Source organism: Homo sapiens, chromosome 1 (assembly GCF_000001405.40).
Source record: "Homo sapiens chromosome 1, GRCh38.p14 Primary Assembly".
Taxonomy (NCBI): domain Eukaryota; kingdom Metazoa; phylum Chordata; class Mammalia; order Primates; family Hominidae; genus Homo; species Homo sapiens.
In genome coordinates this window covers 246469521-246491013 of record NC_000001.11, presented here as the reverse complement: position 1 = coordinate 246491013, position 21493 = coordinate 246469521, and the positions used below count along the sequence as shown (strand labels likewise).

Below are 21493 nucleotides of genomic sequence, written 5' to 3'. Positions count from 1 at the left end.
TTCAGATTATCCTCAGAATTAAAAGAGATAAAACATGTGGAAGTATTTTGTGTATAACAGGTACTCATACTTAATACGTGTTCTTTCCTTGCTCTACTTAGTTCTCATTGATTGATCTTTTTAAAAGACCATTTATTTATTTAATTTGAGACAGGGTCTCACTCTGTTGCCCAGGCTGGGGTGCAGTGGCATGATCATGGCTCACTGCAGCCTTGACTTCCCAGACTCAAACGATCCTCCCACCTCAGCCTCCAGAATAGCTGGGAACACAGGTGCCTGCCACTATACCTGGCTAATTTTTTAATTGTTTGTAGAAACAGAGTCTCACTGTGTTGCCCAGACTGATCTCCTGGGCTCAAGCAGTCCTCTCCCCTTGGCCTCCCAAAGTGCTGGGAGTATAGGTGTGAGCCATTGAGTCCAGCCCTCAGCGATTGGTCGGTGGAATTTAGGTATTATTATATAATTTAGGTCTTAATTTGGTTATTAGGTTTTATTAGTTATTTGCCCTGTGGTCTTAGCCTTCTTGAGGACGGAGACCTTGTCTTATTTTTCTGTGAATCCCAAGACCCTAGTTCATTGCTAAGTACACAAGGATGTTCAATAAATGTCTCAGTGACTGAAATTTGCAGGATTATCAGAGCACTCTGTCTGCAGATAACATCTGAGACATTTTCTGAGTATTTTTTGAAACTGACTCCTTCTCTTGATTATTATTACCACTCTTAGTTGGTACTACTGATTATGGAAGCTAGTAAGATTAGGGTCACTGGCTGAATTATTAGTATCAAATCTATAATTCTGTGTAGTCACCAGAAATAGTATGTCACAGCGAATGTTTATAGGTGGTTATTTAATTCATCTATGAAAATGACTTAAGTCAGGCACAGTGGCTCACGCCTATACTGCCAGCACTTTGGGAGGTCAAGGTGAGATCACTTGAGCCCAGAAGCTCCAGACCAGCTTAGGCAACACAGCGGGACCCTGTCCTGACAAAAAAAAAAAAAAAAAAAAAGGAAAAAATTAGCAAGGTGCGGTGGTCGTACTTCTAGTCCCAGGTAGTTGGGAGGCTGAGGCAGGAGGATCACTTGAGCCTGGGGGGTTGAGGCTGCTATGAGCTGTGATTTTGTCACTCCACTGGGTGACAGAGCGAGACTCTGTCTCAAAAAAAATAAAGACTTCAAGCTCAAATAATGCAAATTTTAAGCATAAATAACTTCATACAGTGTACTTTCAGCCTCTACCTTGGCTTACGTACAGCCTACTACAAACAGCTGAGTTGCATTTTAAATATTTAAACAGTTATTTATAACTTTCAATATTGGCCTTCCACATCTCTCTCTCTCTCTGAATGACACAAGATATTGAAGCTTTCTGATCTATTGATACTTTTGTTTTTAATGATGTTTTAGAATGTCAGCTTCTTTATTTAGAATACTTTGAAATCGCTGTCGAATAGAGCAAATTTCCTTTCTGTCCTTTTTCTTTCTCCTTAGTTGTTTAACCTTCTGCCTCTTAAACCCTGGGCTTCTGTTTTCTCATTCATAAAATAGGGAAATAGCTACCTCGTGATCTTCATGAGGAGTAAATGAGACAACACACACAAAAGTACTAGGATAGTACCTGAAATATTGCATTGCTTCTTTTTCTTTTATTATTTTTTTTGAGATGGAGTCTCGCTCTGTCGCCCAGGCTGGAGTGCAGTGGCATGATCTCGGCTCACTGCAACCTCAGCCTCCGCCTCCCGGGTTCACGCCATTCTCCTGCCTCAGCCTCCTGAGTAGCTGGGACTACAGGCGCCCGCCACCACGCCCGGCTAATTTTTTGTATTTTTAGTAGAGACGGGGTGTCACCATGTTAGCCAGGATGATCTCAATCTCTTGACCTCGTGATCCGCCCGCCTCGGCCTCCCACAGTGCTGGGATTACAGGTGTGAACCACCGCGCCCGGCCTGCATTGCTTCTTCAGAAGTGACCTACCATTCACCTCCCTCAGAATGACTGGGGAGTGGGAGGTGGAGAGAGAGAGAGAGGACTTGTTAAAAATCTGGCTCTCAGTGCCTCTCCGGAGAATATCTAGTGTTTTAAGGCACAGAATCTACATTCTTGCCAAGCTCCCTGGGTGACGCTGGTACTCATAAAATTTTGATACCTGTTTACCTACAGGATGGAGACGCATTCCTTTTGCAATCTGTCTTCTGTCTACTTTATTGGTCTTATTGGCACTAAAGTTTGAGGACACTAGGGCTAAATCCATAGTAGTTTTATATGAATATTTGCAGCAGTTGTAAATAACAGCCTGCTTAAAATCTCTATTTTTATTTTTTCTTTTGAGACGGAGTCTCACTGTGTCACCCAAGCTGGAGTGCAGTGGTGCGATCTCGGCACACTGCAACCTCTGCCTCCTGGGTTCAAGCTATTCTCCTGCCTCAGATTCCCCAGTACCTGAGACTATAGGCATGCACCACCACACCTGGCTAATTTTGTATTTTTAGTGGAGACAGGGTTTCACCAGGTTGTCAGGGCTGGTCTTGAACTCCAGACCTCAGGTGATCTGCCCGCCTCGGCCTCCCAAAGTGGGATTACAGGCATGAGCCACCACGCCCAGCCTAAATCTCTGTTATTTTTTTCTGTGCTTAGCTTGGACTTTTTCTGAGCACCCTTCACTTTCTTCTGTTTTTGCTTTTTGACTGAATTTCTTGAACTTGACCTTTCTGTATCAGAGATCTATAGTAATACCTTTCTTCTGTTAGTTTCAGTCAAGATGTACAAGTCAAGCTGGCAGATGATTCTAGAAGTCTATTTTAAAATGCCCAGACTTCTTTTTAATGAAATTACCTGTGTAATAACTACCTTTAATATAATAATTTTTCGGTCACAGATCAAATACATGGATTTAATTGTAGTTTGGAGCCCAACTTTTAATGAGCAGGATTTAATGAATGAGGCACTTGTGGAAGATCAGTTTATTACGAGGTCACATGATTCATGTGGCCACCATGCATAGGAAATGCTAAAAGGGAGGGCCAGGCGTGGTGGCTCACACCTGTAATCCCAGCACTTTGGGAGGCTGAGGCATGCAGATCACCTGAGGTTGGGAGTTCGAGACCAGCCTGACAAACATGGAGGAACCCTGTCTCTACTAAAAATACAAAATTAGCCGGGCTTGGTGGTGCATGCCTGTAATCCCAGCTACTGGGGAGGCTGAAGCAGGAGAATCACTTGAACCCAGGAGGCAGAGGTTGTGGTGAGCTGAGGTCGCGTCATTGCACTCCAGCCTGGGCAACAAGAGTGAAACTCCATCTCAAAAAAAAAAAAAAAAGATCTGAGTGGAGCCTAAGTTAGACACTGGGCATGGTTTTCTGCAGTAGGGTGAAATTGCTTGTAACTATTTTTCTTGTATTTTGAGACTTCTGTTTTTTTACATTTTCTTTCTATAGATGAACACATTCTTTGATTGTCTCCTGGTTGTTTAGGGTGGTGCTCACTCTTTCAGGTACTCAGAACATTGTATCTTTTATCACATTTACCACCTTGTATTTTAACTTTTTTTTTTTCCAGACAGAGTCTTGCTCTGTTGCCCAGGCTGGAGTGCAGTGGTGCAATCTCGGCTCACTGCAACCTCCACCTCCTGGGTTCAAGTGATTCTCTTGCCTTAGCCTCCTGAGTAGCTGGGACGAGTAGCTGGGATTACAGGTGCGCACCACCATGCCTGGCTAATTTTTGTATTTTAAGTAGAGATGGGGTTTGGCTATATTGGCCAGGCTGGTTTCAAACTCCTGGCTTCAAGTGATCCACTCGCTTGGCCTCCCAGAGTGCTGGGATTACAGGCGTGAGCTACCATGCCCAACCATATTTCAACTATTTGAACCAGTAATTATTAAATACTTTTTTTACCTCCTCTGGAAGCTCTTGGATGCAGGTATTGTGTCTTGTACCGTCAATGTCTACCCATTCTGACTGTTCTTATTTAAACAAAATTCTTCAGTATAGTTCTAGACCATATTTTCTATTAGTATAGGTGGGTAATTTTATTTATTTTGTTGTCTTGGAGACCAGTGGATCTTTTGCTTTCCTTATATGTCCATGGGCCTACCTTTTTGAACAGTGTTATGCTCCTCTAAGTCTTATCTCCTTTCTTTAAATGTTGTATATTGGAGAACTATACCATTGCTTTGATCATCAATGAGAATGAGTATGATGAGTGAATTAGTTTTTTTGGGGGTGGTGAGATTACTTTTTTTGAAGATCACTTTTTAATTAGTATTATTCATCTGTTTGTCTACATGGTATACTGAAAAATAGGACTGTACTTGGAGAAGTAAGTCTTAGGTTTGAGCGCTGCTTCCATTTGCTAGATTTGTGACCTTGGGCAAATCACTTAATCTCTTTGATTTTCATTTTCTTCATCTACAGAATGAATGAAATGGGGTTATAATTCCTATCTGTGTCATAGGATTTTAGTGAAGAGCAAATGACTTAATCCAGAGCATTATATAAATGTGAGGTATTATAATCTTCACACTTATCCCTGAAATAAATATTTTAGAGATTAAATATCAATTCAAGAATTGGAGTGGGGTTTCAATTTTTCACTTTTGGCCTAAAAGGTCAGAAGTTCAGGTAGTTATTAGATGAATATCACCTATACTTGGGTATGGAATCTTCTATTATTACCCATTCTAGAGGAATTTGAACCTGTTAATACTTATGTCATATCTGTTAAGGAGCTTTGTTGTCAGATAGATTCTGGTCCAGGTTCTGATGATGCCGTTTACTAATTTCATGAACCTGCAAACTGACTAGCTAAACCTTAGTTTTCCCATTGGTAAAATGGGGTTAACAACAATAATAAAAACAACCTTATAAGATTAGTTAAAAGAACAAATGAGATAATCTATGATAAAGTGTTCAGCATCCAGCGTAAAGCCTGGGATATTATATGTGACTGATAAGTAAGCAGTAATGATACATTTTACTCAGTATAGAGGAGGATGATGGTCAACACTTAAGGAATACTTGCTTTCTGTCAGGAATGAGTCCATGGGCTTTAGTGTGCATTATCTCATTTAGTCTTGCAAAATCTTCTGAGGTCTCTCTTTATATTATTCCTGTTTTACAGATAAGAAAAGTGAAGTTCAGAGAAGTTATATCTTGCTCAAATTATGTAGCTAATTCTGTCTGCACTCAGAGCCCATGATCTTTATTATTATTTTTATTATTATTTTGAGACAGAGTGTTGCTCTGTTGCCCAGGCTGGACTGCAGTGGTGTGATCCTAGCCCACTACAGCTTTGGACTCCTGGGCTCAAGCAATCTTTCCACCTCAGCCCAAATAGCTGGGACTACAGGCACGAACCACCACCCCCAGCTATTTAAAAAAAATTTTTTTTGTAGAGATGTGGGGGGGGGTCTCACTGTATTGCCCAGGCTGGGCTTGAACACCTGGCCTCAAGTGATCCTCTTGCATCAGCCTCCCAAAGTGTTGGAATTATAAGTGTGAGCCGCCGCATCTGGCTAGATCTTTATTATTAATGAAGCTTTTCATTCCTGTTGGAAACTTTTCACATGTCAACAGTAATTATACATTCTGTGATGCTGTGAGTTCATAATAAAATGATATTTATCTTGGAAATTGGAAAAATGTACAGACAGGATTTTATCTATAAAACTCTGGTAGTGTGTAACTAGTGCAATAGTTTAGGTATTTTGGTTGAAGTGATATGTTTTCAGGTGTAACTAGTGCAGTAGTTTAGGTATTTTGGTTGAAGTGATGTGTTTTCAGGTGTAACTAGTGCAATAGTTTAGGTATTTTGGTTGAGGTGATGTCTTTTCAGGTGTAACTAGTGCAATAGTTTAGGTATTTTGGTTGAAGTCATGTGTTTTCAGGTGTAACTAGTGCAGTAGTTTAGGTATTTTGGTTGAGGCGATGTGTTTTCAGGTGTAACTAGTGCAGTAGTTTAGGTATTTTGGTTGAGGCGATGTGTTTTCAGGTGTAACTAGTGCAGTAGTTTAGGTATTTTGGTTGAGGCGATGTGTTTTCAGGTGTAACTAGTGCAGTAGTTTAGGTATTTTGGTTGAGGCGATGTGTTTTCAGGTGTAACTAGTGCAGTAGTTTAGGTATTTTGGTTGAAGTGATGTGTTTTCAGGTGTAACTAGTGCAGTAGTTTAGGTATTTTGGTTGAAGTGATGTGTTTTCAGGTGTAACTAGTACAATGGTTTAGGTATTTTGGTTGAAGTGATGTGTTTTCAGGTGTAACTAGTGCAATGGTTTAGGTATTTTGGTTGAAGTGATGTGTTTTTAGGTGTAACTAGTGCAATGGTTTAGGTATTTTGGTTGAAGTGATGTGTTTTTAGGTGTAACTAGTGCAATGGTTTAGGTATTTTGGTTGAAGTGATGTGTTTTCAGGTGTAACTAGTGCAATGGTTTAGGTATTTTGGTTGAAGTGATGTGTTTTCAGGTGTAACTAGTGCAATGGTTTAGGTATTTTGGTTGAAGTGATGTGTTTTCAGGTGTAACTAGTGCAATGGTTTAGGTATTTTGGTTGAAGTGATGTGTTTTCAGGTGTAACTAGTGCAATGGTTTAGGTATTTTGGTTGAAGTGATGTGTTTTCAGGTGTAACTAGTGCAGTGGTTTAGGTATTTTGGTTGAAGTGATGTGTTTTCAGGTGTAACTAGTGCAGTGGTTTAGGTATTTTGGTTGAAGTGATGTGTTTTTAGGTGTAACTAGTGCAGTGGTTTAGGTATTTTGGTTGAAGTGATGTGTTTTTAGGTGTAACTAGTGCAGTGGTTTAGGTATTTTGGTTGAAGTGATGTGTTTTTAGGTGTAACTAGTGCAATGGTTTAGGTATTTTGGTTGAAGTGATGTGTTTTTAGGTGTAACTAGTGCAATGGTTTAGGTATTTTGGTTGAAGTGATGTGTTTTTAGGTGTAACTAGTACAATGGTTTAGGTATTTTGGTTGAAGTGATGTGTTTTTAGGTGTAACTAGTGCAATGGTTTAGGTATTTTGGTTGAAGTGATGTGTTTTTAGGTGTAACTAGTACAATAGTTTAGGTATTTTGGTTGAAGTGATATGTTTTTAGGTTTCACATCTAAGGAGTTGGGAGTGGCATCTGTTACAATTGTGAAAAAGCAATGGTAGATTTATTAAAATATGGAACATTATTTGGAATTAACCACAAAATGACTTGGATTGTATTTAGATTTGCTCTCCTTTTATTGGAAAGGTCCCAAAAAGCAGAGAGGATGAGAGAGGAGAAAGAATGTGAATGCTCATTGCTGGTCATTTTTTTTTCCTGTGCTATGCCATCTTAATTGTTCATAGCTCTTCTCTTTTAAGAAAGCTTATGTGAGAGCCACAATTGTATCAGAGAACATTATTACATAATTATACAGCCTTCCCTTTCCCTTAAATGGTCCTTTAAGGCTTTACATCTGCAATAGAGATAGCTTAGTGAATATTCTTCCAAATAAGTTTTTTTAGTTTCATTTTTAGATTAGCCTTTTGTATTTGCGTAAAACAGTGCTTTTGGTAAATGTTGTGTATTTAAGGGGAAGAACAGGATACTTCTGGGGGCTGAGGTAAGTGTTTTGATGTTAGTCTCAAGACATGTTTTCATGCTATAAATGATAACTGGAGCTAAACTGATACTCTGGGTGTCTTAATGGTTGTTCTTTTCATTGCCATTTTAGTATGACTCATTATGTAATGCTCTTTAATGTTTTGCTTGAATTAATGTGAATGTTTTATGAGAATGCCTGATTTCAAGGACTTATCAACAGCTTAACTCTTAATGTTCAGGCACATCAATTGAAATATACATATCATCGAGGGGGAAGTCATCCTTTACCTTTAACTTGGTCACTTAAAAAGGAACATTTTTAGAGGAGATCGTCTGGGTACAGTAGAAAATTAGTTTTGTTGTTATGAACAGTAAATCCTTTCTAAGTCTGCAGCTGGGCTTTGTTTAGGTTCAAGAGAGGGGCAATGAGCTCAACCTGGTGCTGTAAGGACATATGGTCTAAGTCAGAAGAAACCTGAAATTTGGGTTAACTAGTTTCATCCCCTTGAGAGATCTGCATATAACTGTAGACTCTGGGGAATCAGAGGCTCCTTGGTCTGCCCTTGTCTGTGGAGCAGTGTTTGCCTCTTTCTATCCCCAACTGCTGGTTTCCCAGGATCTTGTTGGACGTTTCCCCTACTGAGAAGTATATGGCCTTGATTTCCCTGTATCTGAAACTGGAGCACTTTGTGTTTTTTATCGTATCTTATGTTTATAAAACATATGGAACTTGTTACCTTAGTTTTATTGGCCAAAATTATATGTCTTTTAGTTCAGGGGCTGGCCCTTCTTTAGAAGAAAGCACTTGACTGAGATTGCCTAGCTGTTTATCCCGCTGTATGTGCAGGGAGGTGTACTGGCACCTCTGAGTGAGAGCTGTGGAGAGCCCACCATGACTGCTAATCTGCAGTTAGGGAGAGGGTTTGAACTTGGCCCTGACGTAGGCCAGGAAAGGCGACAGAGTGGCTTTCGTCAACCATTGTAACTGTGGAAAAAAAAAATCTGGGGTAATACCACTTTGTGCCACATGATGCTTATGTATGTGATAGATGTAGACACATGATAAATCAATTTATATGGGGGTAAGAAGTACCACCATCTGTAACATTGAGGATGTATCTATAACATTGAGGATCCTATCACTAAGGAGCACTGCTGTGGCTTTCTGCATGTTGCCCTTAGGTGATAACCATTAGTGTAAAGATTATATGCCCTGGGCTGACCCACCATTTTACCTCTCATGGCAAACTGAGGATCACTTTGATGTTAGAAGTTACGGAATTTTTTTTTGCTTCTGAGACAGGGTCTCGCTCTGTTGCCCAGGCTGGTGTACAGTGGCATGATCATGGCTCACTGCAGGCTTGACCTCCTGGGCTTAAATGACCCTCCTACCTTAGCCTTCCCAGTAGCTGGGACTACAGGTGTACACCACCATTCCTGGCTAATTTTGTTTATTTTTAGTAGAGAAAGGGTCTCATTATGTTGCCCAGGCTGGTCTTGAACTCCAGGACTCGAGTGATCCTCCTGCTTTGGCCTCCCAAAGTGCTGGGATTGCAAGTGTGAGCCATTACACCCAGCCAGAAGTTATGGAATTTTTTTGAACCCCTGTATTAAGGTTCTCCAGAGAAACCAGTAGAGTATTGATCGATCGATCGATCTCTCTCTCTCTATATATATATATCTTCTATGGATACACATAATCATATATGATCATATATATACTCATATCAGTTCATATATATATAATCATATATGATCATATATACTCATATATGAGTTTATATATATAATTATATATATGATCATATATGAATATGTGTATGTATGTATGTATATATGTATGTGTATATATATATATATGGAGCCTGAGAAGTCCCATGATCCGTTCTCTGCAAGTTAGAGACCCAGGAAAGTGGAGTCCAATGGCCTGAGAACCAGGAGGATTGATGGTTTAGGTCTCAGTCCAAGAGCAAGAGAAGACTGATGTCTCAGCTCAAGTAATCAGAGAGAGAGAGAGAGAATTCACCCTTTCTCCATTCTTTTGTTCTAATTGGGCCCTCACAGGTTGGATGATATCTACTAACATTTAAAAGGGCAATCTGCTTTCCTCAGTTCACCAATTCAAATGCTATTTTTTTTTCCAGAAAAACCCTCATAGACACACCAAAAAATAATGTTTAACCACATATCTGGGCATCTTGTGGCCCAGTCATGTTTACATGTGAAATCAACCATTACAGATCTGCAGAAGGAAGATGGCATATTGAAGGTATTTGGAACAGATTAATTACATCTATAGTCTATGTGTATTGCTCTTTCTCTGTTAGTTATTATAGAACTTGAGATCTAAAGAGATCTTTTGGATGGGCACAGTGGCTGTAATCCCAGCACTTTGGGAAGCCAAGGTGGACGGATCACTTGAGGCCAGGAGTTTGAGATCAGCCTGGCCAATATTGTGATACCCTGTCTCTACTAAAAATACAAAAAATTAGCTGGGTGTGGTGGCACACGCCTGTAATCCCAGCTGCTTGAGAGGCTGAGGCAGGAGAATCGCTTGAACCTGGGAGGCTGAGGTTGCAGTGAGCCGAGATTGCACCACTGTACTCCATTCAGCCTGGGTGACAGAGCAAGACTCTGTCTCAAAAAAGAAAAAAAAAAGATCTTTTGAAAAAAGGTAACTTGGATAATTGCATTGAGATTTACTTTCATTTTGTCAGAAGGACCCAAAATAGCATAGTGGAAGGGAATGGGGGATTGATTACTATGTTTTCTATGGATACTCATTGCTGGTAAAAATTATTTTTGCTGTACAGTGACATTTTGTAAGGGAGCAGACGTAAGAGCCACCGTTGTGTCAGATAATGTAGTTATATCTTTTCCCCTTTCTCTCGGAATAGGAACTAGATGTGTCTGAATAGAGAGGTGTTTGTTAATCTAACCTTCTAAGGTATTTGAAACATTTTAATATAGTAAAAAAAAGTTGATAATTATGGAAATTGGTTGATGAGTACATGAGAGTGCATTATGCTTTACTTCTTTGTATGTTTTAGTGTTTTGTTACAGAAAATGTTCAATTAAAAGTACTTTAAATACGTGTGACAGAAACTCACACATGGAGTCTCAGGAGCCCGACTTCTCTTTTTAAAATGAAAGAGCCTGGGTGTGTTGGCTCACTCCTGTAATCCCAACGCTTTGGGAGGCCAAGGCAGGAGGATCACTTGAGGCCAGGATGGTCAACATGGTGTGAGACCCTGTCTTTAAAACAAGGCAGACACAACTCTGTGAATGTAAAATGGTTGCATTGTACACTTTAAGTGGGTTACTTTTATTGTTTGCAAATTATAGCTCTATGAAGCTGTTATAAAAACTAAAAAGAAATTAAAAAAAGATCCTTGAACTTCTTTTAGTGATACCTAAAAATACACAGGCTGAATCCAAACAAGGGTCGGGGGAGTAGTTTCTGACCCACCTGATGCTAAACAATTTTTTCAGTATTTGTTGCGATATTTAATGTGAGACTTTACATGCCACTGTTGTTGGTACTGAAGATACAGCAGATATTTAATGTGAGACTTTACGTGCCAGCCACTGTTGTTGGTACTGAAGATACAGCAGAGAACCACAACAGACAAAAATCCCTGCTCTGGGCTGGGTGCCGTGACTCAAGCCTGTAATCCTAGCATTTTGGGAGGCTGAGGTGGGAGGATTGCTTGAGCCCAGGAGTTCACGACCAGCCTGGGCAATATATTGAGACCTTGGCTCTACAAAAATTTTAAAAACTAGCTGAGTGTGGTGGCACACACCTGTAGTTCCAGCTACTTGGGAGGCTGAGGTGGGAGGATCACTTGAGTCTAGGAGGCAGAGGTTGCAATGAGCTGAGATTGCGCCACTGCACTCCAGCGTGGGTGGCAGAGCAAGACCCTGTCTCAAAAAAAAAAAAAAAAAAAAAAATCCCGCTTTTTGACACATGCCAAACACATCACGTGCATTTTAACACCTAATCCACAATGCCTAGCAGGATGCCAGTGGCAAGATGTAATCTCAACAAAAGTGTATTAAATGAACAACCTCGTAAATTAAGTGCTATTTTTATACTCATTTGGCAGTTAAAGTGACTGAGGCTTAAAGAGGTTACTTGACCCAGGTCACACAGCTGTGAGTGACAGAGCTGGATCTGGAACCAGGTCTTCTAGCCCTCATTCCTGGAGTATGAACCATGATCTTGTACCAGCTCCAGGACAGAGGACAGGTGTAACTATATGAGCACTTAATGCACTAGCTCCGGGACAGAGGACAGGTTTACATATATGAGCACTTGTGTACCAGCTCCAGGACAGAGGACAGGTGTACATATATGAGCACTTATGTACCAGCTCCAGGACAGAGGACAGGTGTGCATATATGAGCACTTATGTATCAGCTCCAGGACAGAGGACAGGTGTACATATATGAGCACTTATGTATCAGCTCCAGGACAGAGGACAGGTGTGCATATATGAGCACTTATGTACCAGCTCCAGGACGGAGGACAGGTGTACATATACGAGCACTTATGTACCAGCTCCAGGACGGAGGACAGGTGTGCATATATGAGCACTTATGTACCAGCTCCAGGACGGAGGACAGGTGTGCATATATGAGCACTTATGTACCAGCTCCAGGACGGAGGACAGGTGTACATATATGAGCACTTACGTACCAGCTCCAGATGGAGGACAGGTGTGCATATATGAGCACTTACGTACCAGCTCCAGGACGGAGGACAGGTGTGCATATATGAGCACTTACGTACCAGCTCCAGGACGGAGGACAGATGTACATATATGAGCACTTACGTACCAGCTCCAGGACAGAGGACAGGTGTGCATATATGAGCACTTATGTACCAGCTCCAGGACAGAGGACAGGTGTGCATATATGAGCACTTATGTACCAGCTCCAGGACAGAGGACAGGTGTGCATATATGAGCACCTATGTACCAGCTCCAGGACAGAGGACAGGTGTGCATATATGAGCACTTATGTACCAGCTCCAGGACAGAGGACAGGTGTGCATATATGAGCACTTATGTACCAGCTCCAGGACAGAGGACAGGTGTGCATATATGAGCACTTATGTGTGCATAGACCAGTGCTTTCTCACCTCCTGACTCTGTTACACAGAGTATCCTTAGTATTTACTTCTACTTTTAGGTGACTGTCCAAAGATGCAGTGAAATCTCCTATCATTTAAAGCATCAGTTGTAGAAACTCTTATTGTGGTTTAGGTTAGGTTAGTTAATTTTTTTAAATTGTTTTGGTCTTTAGTCTTGATCGTGTCATAATGTTAGGTAAAATGTAACTGGGTACCTAGCCACATATGTTCTCAGTAGGTCCTCAACAGATGTTTGTTAGTATGAAGACTGGGAGGACCTTAGAAGCAAATTCTCTCAGTCATCTTTGCCCTTATCTACATATGTATTAATATTTCTTGGGTTAGCTGAGACTGACTTTTATGTTTATTTCCTAGCTAGTTGATATTTAATAGTTGGTTGTCTTAGTACCAGTAGTGTAGACGCAGGTGGCTTTTGTGCTGCAGTAGAGTTATAGGCTTCTTTAAATTACAGATTCATTCTGAGAGTGTGGGAAATACTTGTTACCTCAGTTAAGCAGTCAGTAACTCCACAGGCCGTATATGGCTCACAGGAGAAGCCCTGGGCATTGGAGTCTGATAGAGCTGGACTCAAATTCTGATTTTTCCAGTTACTAGGTGATTCAATAAGTTGTGTAAATTCCATGAGCTTTAATTTTCCCTTTTATAAAAATGGTTCTATAATATCTATTGCTGTAACTATGTAATTGAATTTACTACATGTAAAACAAAGAACTATGACATAGTAAGTTTAGATAAATCTGCCCGTAGGTCACACAGTCACTAAAGGTGAATGTAAACCCAGGTCTGCCTAATTGCAAAGCCTGCACCTACTTTCAGGTAGGTGTGCTATAAATGATATTTCCCTTCTAAACTTGTCTCAGGTAGTTTCTCTAGGTTTTCAAAAACAGTGTTAGAATATAGTCGTGTTAAGAGATGATTTTAGTATGTATGTGTGTTTTTTTCTGACATCATGGTACCCGTTGGAGAAAGCTATTATAGTAATTAGGTATCAGTAAGACTAAATGTTAATTTTAAAACCTAACAAATTCATTGATTATATTTATCTAAGTATCTTATAAGGTGGGAAAATAGGATGCATACACAAAGAAAACTCTGAATAGTCCTTAAAAGGGAGTGTGCAAGAAAGTTTTTAGAAATAGCTTGAATTTGAGAAAGAGAAATGAGGTTTAAGTTTAATAGGAATTAAACATTTTAATTTTGGTCTAGATTGAAAGAAGAAAATTGGTTTCAATTCACATCAGAGATGTCTTTAAATGTCAGGTCTGAATCATGTTGTTTTCAATAGAGAAGCATGACTAGTTGGAACAATTTCTTTCTCTAATCCCTCCTTTAAAAAGTTGCTGAGCTAGAGTGTTCCAGAGACAAGCTGTCTTTTACAGGTTTTTGTGACGTATTTGATAATTGAATAGTCAAGAGTTTTGTGTCTTACTTGATGTATTTGTTTTTACATGTAATTTTTAGTCAAATGCCAACTGGAAAAGCTTGTCTGCAAAAAAGAAAAAGTTGTTTTCTTCTCTGTGTTTGTATGGGGACAGGAAGAAATAGGCTTTTGTCCTTAGACTAGAAAAATAAGGACATTGAACAAATCAAGTTCTTTTTAGTTGGGTCTTGAATTTTATTGTAAATTGAAAGTCTTCATATAGGTTGAAAGCAGCCCCTTGGTTCTGTATTTGAATTGCAGATATAATTGCCTCTTTGCTTAGATTGTTAGGATCTGAGTTAAATATCACCCCTTTCTTGATGCTTAGTTGGGTAGCAGGGCAAAGTGGTTTACAGTCTTGTTACTTAAAATACAGTCTGTGGACCAGCAGCATCAGTGTAACTAAATGATTTTGGAAATGTAAAATCTCAGGCCCAGTCTTAGACCAACTTAACTCAGAATCTACATTTTAACAAGATCTCCAGGTGATGTGCATGCCTATTAAAGCCCGAGAGGCATAGAGGCGTGGATTGGACTGGCCCGTGGAGCCAGTTTAAATCCTGAATCTGAGACTTACTAACTTTGTGACATTGGGCAAGTAATTTAACCTCTGCATCTCAGTTTCCTTAACTGTAAAACAGTGACGATGATGGTACGTTTGCAATGTTTAGAGGAGTTCGTAGGAAGTACTCCATTAGAATTACCTAGATATTTTTAAAATATAGAGTACACTGTATACTTTGATGTGTAATTATAGAATAAAATGTCCATATTCATTAGAATGAACATTACAATTTGTTGGTAAAGTGAAAGAAAAATAGCTTTAGGATCATATACTGTCATTATCTTTCTGAACTGTATTTCTATATTACCTGTCATAGAATAACAAAATCTAGATAGCTTATAACCTTTGCTTTGAGTGTGAATAAAATCTATTTTAGCTATTGCTTCAAAGTAAAAACTTGGCTGGACGTGGTGGCTCACGCCTGTAATACTAGCACTTTTGGTGGCCAGGGTGGGTGAATTGCTTGAGCTCAGGAGTTTGAGATCAGCCTGAGCTAATGGTGAAACCCTGTCTCTACCAAAAATATGAAAAATTAGCCTGGTGTGTTGGTGCATGCCTGTAGTCTCAGCTACTCGGGAGGCTGAGGCGGGAGGATTGCTTGAGCCTAGGAGGTGGAGGTTGCAGTGAGCCGAGATTGTGCCACTGGTCTCCACTCTGGGCAATACAATGAGACAGAGTCTTGCTCTGTCGCTCAGGCTGGAGTGCAGTGGTGTGATCTCGACTCAATGCAACCTCTGCCTCCCTGGTTCAAGCGATCCTCTTGCCTCAGTTTCCCGAGTAGCTGGGACTACAGGCACGCGCCATCATGCCCGGCTATTTTTTTTTGTATTTTTAGTAGAGGTGGTGTTTCACCATGTTGGCCAGGCTGGTCTCGAATTCCCGACCTCAAATGATCCACCTACCTCAGCCTCCCAAAGTGCTGTGATTACAGGTGTGAGCCATGGCTGCCGGCCAAAAAGTACAAACTTTTTTTTTTTTTTTTTTCTGAGACAGTCTCTCGCTGTGTTGCCCAGGCTGGAATGCAGTGGTGGGCTCTCGGCTCACTGCAACCTCCTCTTCCGGGTTCAAGCAGTTCTCCCTCAGTCTCCCAAGTAGCTGGGATTACAGGCGCCTGCCACCATGCCTGGCTAATTTTTTGTGTTTTAGTCGACAGGGGTTTGATAGGGATGGGGTTTTGCCATGTTGGTCAGGGTGGTCACGAACTCCTGGCCACAGGTGATCCACCTACCTCAGCATCTCAAAGTGCTGGGATTACAGATGTGAGCCACCGCGCCCGACCAAGTACAAACTTTTTAATGCGCCACAAATCACTGTGAGGTTGTAGTTGGGGATTTGACCATCTTTGCCAAAAGTACCAGAGGCGACACCCTCCTTAATCTGATAGCACAGATAGGACCAATTTTCTTAGTTCTTACCAGTCCTAGCTACAAGGCTCAAAGCCTTCCCCTTCCTGCTACTTGACAGAATTTCCTCATACAGTAGCAACTTCTTGGAAAGTGGGAGGGAAGGAGAAAGGGAGATACTGGAAAGAAAGCCAGAGAATGACCTGCAGACAATACCACGCCCTCTGTCTCCTGTCTCCCCTTTTCCTTCCATAAACCTTGGAGTTGCTGACCTCTGCAGTAATTGTTAGAGTCCTATTTTATATATAGTAGAGATTAAAAACTCAATCCTTATATTTTGTATTTCTATACATAGAATTTATTTGATGTTAATAATTGTTTAGTGTCAGTTTAAAAACAAGTAGTGAAACCTCATTACTCCTGCATTTCTTTTTTTTTTTTTTTTTTTTTTGAGAGGGGAGTCTTGCCCTGTTGTCCAGGTTGGAGTGCAGTGGCTCAATCTTGGCCCACTGCAACTTCTGCCTCCCGGGTTCAAGCGATTCTCCTGCCTCAGCCTCCTGAGTAGCTGGGACTATAGGCACGTGCCACCACGCCCAGCTAATTTTTTGTATTTTTGGTAGAGACAGGATTTCACCGTGTTAGCCAGGATGGTCTCGATCTCCTGATCTCATGATCCACCCGCCTTGGCCCCGCAAAGTGCTTGCATTAAAGGCATGAGCCACCGCGCCCGGCCCACTTCTAAATTTCTATAAGAACTGTTTAAAACTGAATGCCTGTCTTATCTGTGAGGGATAAGACTACAGACTTCAAAGTTTAGGTAAAAGCTGAAAACACTCCGATGTAGAATTAGAACATTTTGAATCCTGTTCCAATTAATTTATTTAGATGTTAACTATTAGTAAGCATGTTATAGGATTAGATTAAAAATAAATTGTTAATAACTTTTGGTAGGTATTATGTATGGTGAATTTAAATGGCCTAGCAGATTTTTTTGTTATCTTTTGAAAATTACAATTTCAGCTTTATTAGTGATGGAGCATTTGAAAAGTGGCTTGGGTAGATGGCAACAATCGGCTGCTGCAAAATTTGGCAACAAAGACAAACCTCATTTGGTCTCATGGGAATGCTGGACAAGTACACCTGCAGGCTTTCCCCTGAGGGGCAGAGCATACCTCTTTAAAACTTAAGTCATGGAGGAGTGGTACCCCCTCGCCCCAAAAAACAAACTCTGAAGGGATTGAGGCATATGTGTTCCGCCTCTTCTCTTATACTGTAATAACAGTAAGTCATAATAATAACAATATGTCATAAATGGCTTTTAGATCACCAGTGCATAGCTGGGTAGTTGTCTGTCTGCTATGGTGGTGGGGGGCAATTTTAGCACATTAAAAAGTGTTTTTGAAACCCAACAAGGCCTATTAGAAAATCAGTAATATTCCTAGCTAGAAGCAACTGACCTTATAAAATAATGTTTTTAGAAAAATGGTTCTGAAACAAGCCTAGAGTGGTAATTTACAGAGCTAGTCCAAAAACACTTTCTTCTCTGAGATGAGCAGAATACTTAGCAAAAGTAATAAGGAATCAAGGCATTTTTTTTGAATTTCAAAATATATAACATAAAATGAATAATAACATAATAAATCAGGTTTACTCTAAATATATTCTGAACTCAAACTGCTGAAGTGCTATTTATCTCCAAGATGTAGAACCAGTTAACTTAATAGTTTCTCGTATTGCCAGAACCTAAGCCATGTAAAAAGATAAACTAAAACATTAAGATACCTACCAAATGAGGGAATGAAAAAGATTCATTAGGCCGGGTGCAGTGACTCATGCCTGTAATCCCAGCACTTTGGGAGGCCGAGGCAGGTGGATCACCTGAGGTCAGGAGTTCAAGACTAGCCTGGCCAACATGGTGAAACCCAGTCTCTACTAAAAATACAAAAATCAGCTGGGTGTGGTGGCATGTGCCTGTAATCCCAGCTACTTGGGAGGCTGAGCAGGAGAATCACTTGAACCCGGGAGGCACAGGTTGCAGTGAGCTGAGATTGCTCCACTGCAGTCCAGCTTCAGTGACAGAGTGAGACTCTGTCTCAAAAAAAAAAAAAAAAAAAAAAGAAATTTGAGAGTAACTGCGGGAGACTCCCTGAAATGAAATAGTTAGATATGATTGCCTTGGGGAGCAGGAGAAGGAAGCTTTTTGTTTTTTCTGTTTGACTTTTTTTTGGAGACAGGATCTTGCTCTGTCACCCAGGCTGGAGTGCAGTAGTGTGATCATGGCTCGGGGTAGCCTTGACCTCCCGAGATTAAGCGATCCTCCCCTATCAGCCTCCCCAGTAGCTGGGACTACAGGCGCATGCCAGCATGCCCAGCTAAGTTTTTCTGTTTTTTGTAGGGACAGGGTCTCACTCTGTTGCCTAGGCTGGTCTCAAACTCCTGTGCCCAACTGATCTGCCCGTCTTGGCCTCCCAAAGTGCTGGGGCTACAGTCATGAGCCACTATGCCCAGCCTATTTGCCATTTTAACCATATGGTATATATTGCTTTGATTAAAAATTTAAAAACAAAATAAAATTCTAATCTAGCAGGTATAGCGAAAAACAATGACAACAAAAAACAACATAGTAAAAGGTGCTTCCAGCTATTGTAGAAGCATATTCCACTCATTAAATTGCAAAAAGGGCTGCCTGTCACTTTTCTGTTTTCTTTTTTTTCTTCTTCCACAAGATCAAAAGCCTCTGATGATCATAATTACCTATGGCACGTTCTGTATGGGTGCTAGGCGGGTGGATTTGTAGGAGTGTGGTGTGTGTGTTTTTCTGAGGCCCCTTGTGGCTTGTGCTGGAGTGTTGCCTATTTAACCTTTGGTTTTCATTTTTCCTTTTTTTTGTTTTTTTTCAACTTAAAGAACATCTGGAATCATTGAAAAATTAAAATCAAATATTTTGGTTGAATGCTTACATGCTTTTAATGGACTTATTCAGAGCATAATACATCACAAGTAACACCTACTTTAGGTTTTTGTTCCCCAAGATTGGACTGATTGTCTTCACTTTCTATATTTGGGTTGTGCTTCCTGCTAATTAGCTTTTAAAAGCCACTGAGATTAGGAGCCAAATTTGGTACCTGCATAGTTTTTAGCCTAGTTAACTTAAGAAGTAGTCTTTCTACATTTTTATCAAACTTCTTTCTATGCAAATGTAATGATCTATTTATAGATAAGATATAAAGTGTTTTAATCTTACTCAGGGGATCCCTGATGAGCCCAAAATGAAATCCGAGTGGAACAGTAAGCAGAGCGCCAGTGCATAATTGCTGTGCTAGTTGAAGTTTTAATCCTCTCATAAAATGTTTATCTATGCTTTATATCACATTAATTTTTAGATCTTCTTCACTGGAAAGTTTATTTTGTTACCTTGCTTATATGGTTGAAATTAAAGATGACAGGTTAATGCAGTCTTATTTTAAAATATGGGGCCAGGCATGGTGGCTCACACCTGTAATCCCAGCACTTTGGGAGGCCAAGGATGGGGAATCAGTTGAGGCCAGGATTTTGAGACCAGGCTGGGCAACATGGCAAGACCCTGTCTCTACAAAAAAACAGAATTAACTGGGAGTAGTGGCATGTGCCTGTAGTCCCTGCTACTTAGGAGGCTTAGGCAGGAGGATCACTTGAGCCCAGGAGTTGGAGGCTGCAGTGAGCCATGATCATACAGCCGCACTTCAGCCTGGGGGACAGCAAGACCCCATCTCTAAAAAAATAAATAAAAATTAAAAAAATTAAAACATCTTTTAAAATTGGTCAAACTGCTTTTAAAAAGCTTTATTTTGGAATAATTTTAAAATTACAGAAAAGTTGGAAGAATAGTACAGACAACCCTTACATGCCTTTTATCTAAGTAAACAAATTTTAACATTTGCTCTATTGGCTTTATCATATTTATTTATTTCCTCTCTATACACACCACCCCCCACACACAACACACATACATAAATATTATTTATTTTTCTTAACTATTTGAGGGTAGGCTGCATACCTAATGTCTCTTTCCTTACCACTTTAGTGTACATTTCCTAAGAACAAGGATATTCTCTTATATAACCATTCTACACTTAGTCAAATCCAAAATACTTAACATTCACACAGTACTTTTGATCTCTAGTTCATTTTTCCAATTTTGTCGATGTTGCAATAATGTCCTTTGTTGCATTTTTTTCCTTTAGTCCAAGATCCAGTGTAGGATTTTTTTTGTGTGTATGTATATATATATGCACATACATATGCACTATATATATACACACATATGCACTGTATATATACACATACATACACTATATATATAGTGTGTATATATATAGTGTGTGTATATATACACAATGTATAGTGTGTGTGTATATATATAGTGTGTATATATAGTGTATGTATGTGTATATATTATATATATATATATTTTTTTTTTTAATTTTTTTTTATTTTTAGACAGATTCTTGCTCTGTCTCCTAGGCTGGAATGCAGTGGTGTGATCTTGGGCACTGCAACCTCCGCCTTCCACGTTCAAGCGATTCTCCTGCCTCGGCCTCCTGAGTAGCTGGGATTACACGTGTGTGCCACTACACCCAGCTAATTATTTTTTGTATTTTTAGCAGAGACAGGGTTTTGCCATGATGACCAGGCTAGTCTCGAACTCCTGACCTCAGGTGATCCTCCCGCCTCGACCTCCCAAAGTGCTGGGATTACAGGCATGAGCCACTGTGTCCAGCTGGATTATATATTAATACATGTAGTTGTCATGTCTCTTTAGTCTCCATTAATCTGGAGTAGTTCCTCAGCCTTTTCTCATCTTTTATGATATTAATATTTTTGAAGAATGCAAGTCAGTTATTTTATAGAATAAAAAAACCGAATTAGATTTGTCTGATGTTTTCTCATGATTAGACTTGAATTTTTCAACCCCAGCCAGAGTATTACATAAGACAGTATTTATGTAGTGTATGTGTGATACTGTGTTGTTCTGAGGATATCACACCAGGAAGCACACAATGTCCATCTGCTCCTAGTTGGTGAAGTTTTAATCACTTGGTTAAGATACAGCCTTGGGTGAGTAGTTACTGTTTTTCCCCTTGTAACTAATGAGCCAGTCTGTGGGGAGACACTTTGAGACCATGCAAATGTCTATTCCTCGTCAGTTTTTTTTCCTCCATAGAGTTAACATCTATTATTGATTGGTTCTTACCTGAATCATTATTTATGGTTCCCTCCACATTTATGTCTTTATTTTCTTCTAAGGAGGAGCCTTACCTTCTCCTCTATTTATTTATGTATCTATTTATTATTAGTATGGACTCATGGGTTCCTATTTGTTCCATTGGTTCCTATTTGTTCCATTATTGTTCTTATTTATTTTGATGCTGAAATTGTCACTGATTTGACTCATGGGAGCCCCTTCAAGC

General features: G+C 40.0%; 1 protein-coding gene across 3 annotated transcripts in view; it reads left to right on the top strand.

The window, feature by feature from the left end:
• The window catches only part of SMYD3 (SET and MYND domain containing 3), a 757933-nt gene that overhangs the window by 16266 nt on the left and 720174 nt on the right, over positions 1-21493 (top strand). Inside the window, exon 1 of one of the 3 annotated variants that reach the window (XM_047428020.1) lies at positions 9448-9829. The exons of the other annotated variants lie outside the window; for them this stretch is intronic. The gene's annotated coding sequence lies outside the window, so the exon portion shown is untranslated. Of the gene's footprint in view, positions 1-9447; positions 9830-21493 lie in introns of those variants that run through there. 3 annotated transcript variants of the gene reach the window in all.